Source organism: Homo sapiens, chromosome 13 (genome assembly GCF_000001405.40).
Source record: "Homo sapiens chromosome 13, GRCh38.p14 Primary Assembly".
Classification (NCBI taxonomy): Eukaryota; Metazoa; Chordata; class Mammalia; order Primates; family Hominidae; genus Homo; species Homo sapiens.
Window position 1 is genome coordinate 37,907,364 of NC_000013.11, and position 10,534 is coordinate 37,917,897.

General features: G+C 34.4%; 1 annotated feature.

Annotated features, from left to right (window-relative positions):
- Positions 7,305 to 7,857: an enhancer, noted in NCBI's record as "OCT4-NANOG hESC enhancer chr13:38488805-38489357 (GRCh37/hg19 assembly coordinates)". NCBI's record gives its function as "activates a minimal SCP1, AML or CMV promoter by ChIP-STARR-seq in primed H9 embryonic stem cells {active_cell/tissue: H9 hESC(primed)}" and the evidence as "EXISTENCE:reporter gene assay evidence [ECO:0000049][PMID:30033119]".

Genomic DNA, 10,534 nt, shown 5'->3' on the forward strand with positions numbered 1-10,534 from the left:
AAAAGCTGTCTTCAGTTGTATTTGGAGAAAAACAAAACAAACAGAAAAGAAACAAACTGGGTTGTGATATGTCCACTGCTTAAGCAAACTAGTATAAGTTAATGACAAAAAGGAAAGATGATAATGCACAGCTACCATTTTTTTCAACATTGCTCTTAAAGGAAATAATTTTCAAACTATAGAGGTCAGAACAAACCCAATTATTTAGGAGTTGAAAAATACGGGGTAAATTATCATTTAGCAAATGATCCCTGAAGCAAACACTCGTACTTTCTCTCTAAAATACTTAAGAAAACAAAATGCCCACTACAAATTCAGTAACACTGAATTCATTAAAAGAATAGTAAAAGAATTTGCACACACACACACACACACACACACACACACACACACACACACAAAGGTACAAGACTGAAAAATGACAGAAATGGAGCAAACTTCCCAGGTTGAAAAGGCTTTACAAAGCCTCTTAGCTGTTACTTATTATCTGCCTACTTCTTTCAGAAATGCAAGTACTATAGTAAACATATAAGCATGTCTTCATTTCTTGGATATTAATGGTTCTTAGTGTTATTTTGTTGGCAGATAAAATTTTCTGGAATTCACCATTCCTGATATATCATTACAAGGTAAAATATTATAGAGTATTATTGTCAGTGAGGTAGGCTGGATATGGCCCTCAAATATGACCACGTTCTAATCCCTGGTTACCTTACATGGCAAAAAGGATGTTATAACTGTGATCAAATGAAGGATTTTGAGATAGAAAGATTATCTTGGATTATTGAGATGGGCTCAATATAATTATAAAGATCTTTATAAGAAGGACTCATGAAGGGTCAGAGTCAGAAGAAGGTGATGTGTTGGCAGAAGTGGAAATTGGGGTGATATGCTTTGAAGGTGAAAAGGGGGCCACAGTCAAGGAATACGGGCATCTACGAGAAGCTGAAAAAAGTAAGTAAATGGATTCACCCCTTGGGGCCTCTAGAAGGACCCAGCCAAACTGACACCTTGACTTTTGCCCAGTGAAACTGATTTCAGACTTCTGACCCCCAGAACTATAAGGGAGTAAATTTGTGTTGTTTTAAGTCACTAAGTTTGTGGTAACTTTTTATAGTAGCAATAGGAAACTAATACAGTAAACATAATCCAATCTTAATATGAAAAGTTGTTAATTCTGCTTGATGGGATAACTTTTTCATGCCATTTATATTTTTTCAAAAGTTCTACAATCAGTTTGTATTGCCTTAGGAAATAGAATAAACTCAGTATGTTTTATTAACCACTGGGCGTACATCGATTGAATTTGTGAGTTATTTTTATTTGTACATAAAGTTTAGAAACAAAGGCAATCTCAAAGTCAGTCTTTTCTTCATTCTAGTTTCCCATTGATAAAAATGTTACTTCTGTGGTGCATTTGTTTACTTATTGCTTTTTTATTTTCTCCTATATATTTATGATTTTAGCAGCTACATGTTTACTGAAATATAATGTTACTGTTAATTCATGCAATTTTTTTTATAATAATAGATCCCCCCTTCATTGTCCCTTTTTAAAGGACATGGCTTTAAAGAAAGGTGCCAATTGCTGATTTGCTGCTTACACTAATCATAATTTTGAAGTTTCACAATATCTTTCCTAGATTACCTCTTATCATAACAGTTCATGATTCTTGTGGCTCTTGATCCTATCATTATTAAGGTTTCTAGATTAAATTTTATATTCTGCCTTTATGATTACTCCCAGAGTCTCCTCAATTGTATCCACATTTTTAGATTACTGCATTACTATAAGTTTTAACATAGTCCTATGTCTTATGAAAAAATTTATTGTTTTAAGAGCTTTTCCAGATGCTCCTGGGCCAACACTATTCCTTTTGGAAGTTCCTTCAGTGGTTTCTTCTCAGCTTCTGTTAAAGAACTTTACCACTGATTTTTATAATTTAATACCAATAATCTGATAATTTCCACAGAAGCACTTTTTAAAATCTACATAGCAATTATTTAAAAATTCCTGTGTCGTATCTTTTTTTTCTCTGCCTCTGTAATCATATAAGAAAAAAGGACTGAGACATCTGTGCCCAAATGATAATTTTTCTTTGTGTTTTTATTTTTCACTTTCATAATTAAAAAAAAATGAAGTCAGGTTTCTTGAGTAATTGTTTCTGACCTATGCTGTCAGATTCTCTCACTGAGATGAGAATTGAATAATAACAGAAGAAAAAAATAATTTAATAGAATATAATAAGGTATTTATATTGGAAAATAGTTTTTCTGGATATTATGATTATTGTTCAAAGAGTCAATATTAGTGTCTTAGTGTGTTATATAGCCAATTAAATCAAATTGATTTATTTTGAACCGATATGAGAAGTTATTTATAAATGGAAAAGGAATTTGGAAACAATTATAATAGAATTTATTTAAATAAGTTGAAAAATAAATCTGTATCAAATACAAATAAAAGATGTTTCACATTATTAATTAGTCTACATTTATTCAACTCTGGATGGTTAAATTATTTTGTTGGAATGAAATACTTTAAGTGACAAAGTTAAATGAAAATATTTTTATTAAACATTGCTCTCTATTATAGTCTGAATGTGTTCCCCAAAATTCATCTGTAGAATCTTAATGGCCAGTGTGTTAATATTGAGGTGAGGCTTTAGGAAGTGAATAAGTCATGAGGGCAGAATCCTCTTGAATGGGATTAATGCCCTTATAACGGGCATAAGGGAGTAAGTACTCCTTTCTGTCCCTTCTGCCATGTGAAGATACAACGTTTGTTCCCTTGAAGGCTGCAGAAATGAGGTGCCATCTTGGATGCAAGCAAAGAACAGTGCTCACCAGACAACTGAACCTGCTGGCATCTTGATCTTGGGCCTTCCAGCCTCCAGAACTGTGAGAAATAAATTTATATTATTTATAATTTACCAAGTCTGTGATATTTTGTTATAGCAGCACAAACAGACATTCTCCATCTTTAATATCACCTGACGTCATCTGCTCTACTTTTTGCAAAGCATTTACCATCGTTTAATATACAATATAATTTACTTACTTCTCATAGTAAAATGTAAGAATGTTATGAATATAACATCTTCAAATATAAAATCAGACTGTAAACTCAACATTAGCAGGTAGATTTGTCTGTTTTTGTTAACTGATACATCCCAAGCACCTATCATATAATGAAAAGTCAGTTAATATGACATTAATAAATAAAAATGTGTCTACTATGGAGAGCCAAGCATTTTTATAGTCACTAGAAACACAGAAATGAACATAATGGACTCTTTCCTCACGCAATTGACATTCTAGAGACTGAGGTCAACAGTGCCTCAGGTAGTCTTCAATAATAAAATAAAATCTAAAAATTTTAGGTTTTTTAACTAAGGTAAAAAACTGGTTTGATGTACTAACAACTGGCTGTTTGGGTGTCTGTGTTAGTTTTAAAATTCAGACAAGAACTCACTAAAAGGTTATTTTTTAGCTGATCCTTGAATGACACAAACAAGAATGCTATGGAAAGAGTACTTTGAATAGGGAACACAGTAAGTGCAAAGGCCTTTGAGAAAAGTAAGAACAGGACGTTATGGAAGCTTGCTGGAGGGGTTGGGTTGATGTGTCAAGGAAGATCTGTGACTAAGCAGAAACCAGAAAGATAATCTTCAGGTTAAGAGTGGGTAAGAGAAACATTTCAGAGAGAGGAACCAGCCTAAGGGAAAAAGAGAGCACAGTGTTACTTGGAGCATAGAATATAAAAGGGTACAGTGAAGAAATGTGACTGTAAAATTAAGTAATGGCCAGATCTAGAAATCATTCAACTTCATTGGACTTTATTTTAAGAAAACTCTAAAGACATTAAGGGTATTTAAGCAAGGTAGTAAAGTGATTTTTTTTACAAAGTATAAAGTAGACTTCTGCTTCCACTAAGCATAACTAAAAAACCTGGACATTAAGAAAAATAAACGTAAGAAGATGATGAAAGAATATGGTAGATCAGCTAGGGACTTCAGTACTCAAGGAATAAAATGACTGTGAGTTTTTTGGGTTTACCTCTTGTCTTATATATTCCAGACTTGGAGCTGAAGAAGCCAGCAATCTGAAAAAGCCAACAGGTACAGACAAAAATAGTCCTAACACAAGCCTGCTCCCTCTAGCAAAAGGACCAGGAAAGGGGTAGCCTAACGAAACAGAAAACGTTTAGACGATAACTACTCTACTTCAGTCAAATATCTTGGGAAAAACTAGCCTTACTACCAACACTGCCAGCAAAAGCCGAGTGGGGAGCTTAGATTCCTAGCGTAGTGAAGCTGTACCAAGGCACTCCAGTATACCTGTTGCTGAGCAAGGGAAAGGTCTTTCATCCCTGGATGGCAGTAACTTTCCAGGATATCCTTTTGTCAGTTGATACCACATGGAGGGAAGCCTGGACTTCCATTCTCTTACTCTGCTGTAAAAGGTACCACCCTCCATATTTGGCTGTGGCGATGCCAGAAATATGAGGCTTTCACCATCACCAAGAGATAATAAGGTACTCCCCCAAACCTCTACATCCAACCAGTAATAAGATCATCTTTGAGTACTAGGGGATGCTGGGTGGAGGAACTGAACCCCTATCACTACTAGGCAGTTACCAAGGTTGTTCCACCTTCCCTTGTATCCTTGAGGAATAAAGGAAAAGTTAAGATATGCTCAGATGAAAAGAAATGAAGAAAAACTTATCACCAACATATCTACTCTAAAAGATTAGTTAATGGAACTCCTCTAAACAAAAAGGACACCATAAAGATTCTTTGAACATTGGAAAGAAAGAACAACAGAAATAGTAAAAATATGGGTAAATACAGTATAATTTTTCTCTTCCTGAATTTTCTAAATAATTTTTGATGTTTGAAGCAAAAAAAATATATAATATAGTCTGACTTGGTTCTAAATGCCCCCCCTCCAAAAAAACTAGACAAAAACATACACTCAAAAACACTTTTGATAACTCAAAATGGCATTCTACAATATCTTCAAGAAACACACAGGAAAGTAGAGAAAGGAAAACAGGGAGATGACAACAACAACAACAACAACAAAACAAGAAAACAAACAGAAGACAAAAAATAAAATGGAAGACTTAAGCCCTATATCAAAAAGTATATTATATAAATAGTTTATACATATATTAAAATATAGTGATTGGGAGAATGGATTTTTAAAAGCCCCAAACTCTATGTTGTCTGCAAGAAACTCACCTCAAATATAAAGGTACATTGAAAAGGAAAAAGATATAGCATGCAAACATTAGTCAAAACAAGCAGGAGTGGTAGTACTGATATTAGATAAATTTGACTTCATAGCCTAGTCATGTTGTACAATTATTTTTATATGTCATTGGATTTAGATTGCTAGTATTTTGTTGAGGATTTTTGTGTACATATTCATAAGATATATTGGTTTGTAGTTTTCTCTTACTGTGATGTGTTGTCTGGTTTTGGTAACAGAGTAATACTGATCTCATAAAATAAATTAAGGTGTTTTTTCCTCTTCTGTTTTTAGGAAAAGTTTGAGAAAATTTGGTGTTAATTATTTCAAATGCTTGGTAGAATTTATTCATGAAGATCTCTGAATTAGGCTTTTCTTAGTGAGTTTTTTAAATTACTATTTTAATCTCTTCACTTGTTACAGCTCTATTCAGAGTATTTATTTCTTTTTAAGGCAGTCAGTAGTTTGTGCCTGTAGGATTTTGTCCATTTCATCTAAGTTATATAATTTGGTGTTTTATAGAGTTGCTCAAGAATCGTTTTCTTGCTTATCTTCTCTCTATTGTTCTACTATTGACAATGCAGCATTAAAATCTCCAACTACTATTGTGGAATTGCCAATTTCTCCCCTATATTAGTTTTATTTCATGTATTATATGCTTTGCTTTTAGGCACATATATGTGTATAATTGTTATATCTTTCTGATAGATTGACTCTTTCATAATCATAAAATATCCCTCATTATCTCTAGGAACATTTTTTGTTTTAAAGTCCATTTTGTATAAATTAGTACAGACACTCCCATTTTTTGTAGTTGCTTTTTACATACTGTATTATTATTCTATACTTTTGCTTTCATTCAATTTATATTTTTTCTATCTAAAGTATGTTCCCTGTATAAGGCATATAGTTGGATTATTTTTTTTCCTAAACCACTTAGGAAGTTTCTGCCTTTTGGCTGGGACTGTTAACCTTTTCACATTTAATGTTATTACTGATATATTTGGATTTACACCTGCCATTTTACCTTTCTGTTCCCTATATTTTTCATGTCTTTTTTCTTCCTCTGTTACCCATCTTATTCTTTTTAATTCATTAAGTCTATATTCCCTAATATACCATTTTAATTTTATAATGATGTTTTAACTATAAATTTTGAGTTACTCTACATTTTATGCATGTATATTTATAAATGTATACACTTTAGCTTATTAAAATTAGCTTCAGATTTATATTAGTTTATATCCCATGATATATAGAAGCATTACTCCTATATAGCTCTGTTCCCCTCCCCACAGTTTTTGTGACATGCTATATATATTATATATATAAATGTTATAAATTCAGTAATAAATTATTATAATTATTACTTACCACCTACAGTCATTTCCTTAGCCCAATACACCCTTTCACATCTATTGTGCTGTTCGGGGCAAATATTATGCATATGTTACATTTTCACATGTTGTGGACTCAGTAATACCTCATATACATATATTATTTTTGAGATGGAATCTTTCTCTGTCACCCAGGCTGAGTGCAGTGGCATGATTTTGGCTTATTGCAATCTTCGCCTTCTGGGTTCAACCAATTCTTCCACCTTAGCCTCCTGAGTAAGTGTGTGCCACAACGTCTAGCTAACTTTTGTATTTTTAGTAGAGACTGTGTTTCACCATGTTGGTCACGCTGGTCTCAAACTCTTGACCTCTAGTGATCCACCTGCCTTGGCCTCCCAAAGTGCTGGGATTACAGGCGTGAGCCACTGCACCTCACCTACAATTGCTTCTTAAAATCTGTTATGAAGAGAGGAAAAATGTACATTTCTACTCTCTTTTATAATTACATAATTACCTTTTCCAGTATTCTTTATTTTTTCATTTGGATTCAGATTACCATCTGGGACCAGGGCCAGATACTTTCAGCCTATAGAATTTCCTTTAGTATTTCTCATAAGGTAGATCTTCTAGCAACCAATTCTCTCAGTTTTTGTTTATTTGGAAAAGCCTTTTTTCTGTCTGCATTTTTAAAAGAAAGCTTTGCTGGATATAGGATTCTTCATGGAAAGTTTCTTTATTTGAGCACTTTTGATATGTTATCCTCCTGCCTTCTGGCCTTCATTGTTTCTTCTGAGAAGCTAGATGTTAATCTTACTGAGATTCCCTTGTAATGTTACAGACTTGCCAATGCACCACAATGTAGCAGTCTTTTATTGTGTGATATCACCAGGAGTTCTTTGTCTCACAACCAAGAGTATTAAGGAGCATGAACACAAAGGGTGAGGCTGGAGCAAAAATTTAATAAGTGAAAGAAAAAAGCTCCCTGTGGTGAAGAGGGGGCCCTGAAAGAGGGTTGCTGCTTTACAGTTGAATGCAAAGCTTTTACAGGAAATGGATGAAGCCTGGGCATCTCATTTGCATAAGGTGCAAATTTCTTATAGCTCCACTCCATCCTCCTAATGAATATGTGGGCCCTTAGCTTGAGCTACTCCATGTTGCCTTGTTCCTCTTAATGTGCATGTGTCAGGGGACGGAATTTTCCATAGTGGGCATGTCTGGGCAAATCACTTGTGTAGCCTTTTTTATATTGTGGCTGTGGGCATATCCTAGGCAAACCCCCCTGTGCAAGTTACCTTATCTGTGCCTGTTGGCTATTCTTTGGTTTGAAAGAATTCTTCCAAGGATCCACCCTAACTGCCTGCCTGACTCGTTTCTTCCTTTCCCCTCTCAGTAAGGTATGAGTCATTTTTCTCTTGCTTCATTCAAGAATTTCTCATCTTTGATAATCAAAATTTTGACTACTATTTTTCTGATTGTAGATCTCTCATATTTATCACACTTGTAGTTTATGGTGTTCTGGATGCTTACTCTTTTTTTTTTTATAAATACAGGAGTGTTTCAGTCATTATTTCTCGAAATATTTTTCCTACTTCTTTCTTTCTTACTATTATGTGTATGTTGGTGTTCCGTAGTTATCTGAGACTGTGTTCCTTTTTCATCATTCATTTTTCTCTCTGTCCTTCAGCTTGCAAAATCTCTGTGTGCCTACCTTCAAGTTGTTAATTCTTTCTTCTGTTAGTTCACATCTACTGTTGATCTCAATCTAGTAGTAATTTTTAAATTTATTATATTTTTTAACTTCAGAATTTTCATTTGGTTCTTTTTGATCATGTTTATTCCTTTATTGATATTCTCTATTTGATGTGGCATTGTCATCATCATTTCTTTTTATTCTTTAATTATGCTTTCCTTTAGGTCTGTAAACATATTTATATTGGCAATTTTTATGTCCTTTTCTGTTAAATCTGATATCTGGTCATGTTCACAGGCAATTTCTGTTGCCTGATTTTTAATATTTTTTCTTCTTCTGGCATACAGGTTATATTTTCATTTTGCTTTATGCCTCATAATTTTCTAAGACTTCTTAGACAATATATTTGTAGCAACTATGGTTACTTCTCCCTCTCTTACAGGAATTGTTACTGTCATTTGCTTGTTTATTTATTTAGTGACAGCTGGATCATTTTAGTAAAGTATCTTCCCACCCCCTCCCCAACCACTGCCCAACATACACACAGTGTTTGGCCACTGATGTTGTTGCTTAGGTAGACACTATTCTTAGTGGGTCAACAGTTTCTATGGGAAGACAATAGCATTGGTAAGGCTCTCTTATTCTCTTTTCATAGCTACATTCAGCTTTTTAACTCCACTAATTGCTTGCTGATTGCTGTATTATTTTCAACAATTCCATGAAGCCTGAGTAGCTCTACAAACAAATCCTATCAAATTGTGGCTACTTTGAAGGAACTGTTTCTAAGGTCAGTGTTTGATATTTGTTGTGACCCCAGAAGGGCTCCTTTGCAAATAGTCCACTTATAGTCTAAGATATATCTTCTTTAAATCCACCAATCTCCTTCCTTTTGTCTTTCACTATAACCTCCACTGTTTCTTTTTTGTATGTGTGTTCCTAGGTTTAAACTTCATGCTCTACTGCAAATAAAGTAATTTCCTTGGGGAAGAGATTCAGAGGTATCCATTTTAGGACCTTCTTCTTTCCCAAAGCAAAAATCTATGAGCTGGCTCTGGGGCTGGTGGGGAAGACAATAGCAAGTGTTGTCTGAGTGATACCCCTATTCAAAGGGTTCAGCACTCAATGTTGAGAGAGGCAGCACCCGGAGGTCTCTGAGTTGCCTCCTTTAGTGTGGAACTTCCACATGCCAAACTGAGACAATGTTAATTCAGATCCCAGTGTTCTGAAGGTGTATGACACCAGACAGAGCCTCCATTTCACAAACGGGAGCTGGATGGAAGAAGACAGCCCTCAACTTTTGACTTCATTAGCTGGAGCAACAAGTAGTTGAAGGCAGGATGAGAAATGTGAAAGTCCTATTCCTCTTGAGATGATAGCCAGAGGCAGATATTTCACAGCACTGAAAGCTGGAGGGGCTAGTGAGTCCTGTGTTCTTGGTTGCTTCAGTCACACTGAACTGGAAAGGAAAGGGCAGGAGTGGTCTTTGTTCAAATACCACAGACTTTTGCCTTTTTGAAATACTTTTCATAGATTTTCTCCAATGGAGTTTCTTTTTCTTTCTTTCTTTTGTTTTTTTTTTTTTTGGATTTGCAGTTTGCCCTTAAGTCCATTTCAAGAGCTTTAAAACGGTTGTTTTTCCAATTGATTTTCACCAGTTTCACTGGGAAGCAGGTCAGGGAAGTTCCTCACACTGTCACGCTGTAAACTGATTATCAATGTATTATTTTTTACAACTGTATGTGAACCTACAAGTATCACAAAATAAAATGTTTATCTTAAAATCATGGAATAACAACACAAGGAGTTATATAGAATTATTATTCAGTCCATTTATCATTTCCAGGATAGCTTCAAGTAGACTAGCAAGCTAATTTTTCTCTTTTGAATCTCAACAGAGAGAAAAATCTCTTTTCACTTTCTGTAATCCATTAATATACTTCACATAGCAAATCACTTTTGATAATGTGAATAGAGTTTGTATAATAAAGTGTATTGATGATAGGTTAAAGGAGAAAGTTAAGGAATCTAGACTGAACACCCAGCATCTAATGTCTTCATCCATTGTTCTTTAAATGAATTATTGACTGTTCAACCAAATAAATGAATAAGTCAGGTCAGTATTGATGGTGTTACACTCTCTTTTTCTTCACTACCGTCATCCTAGTCCTCCTAAATTCCTTACCACCACCATCATTTAAAACTCATTTAAGAGTTCATGAGCTTGTCATGTGTCATGGTCATTCAGAGACACT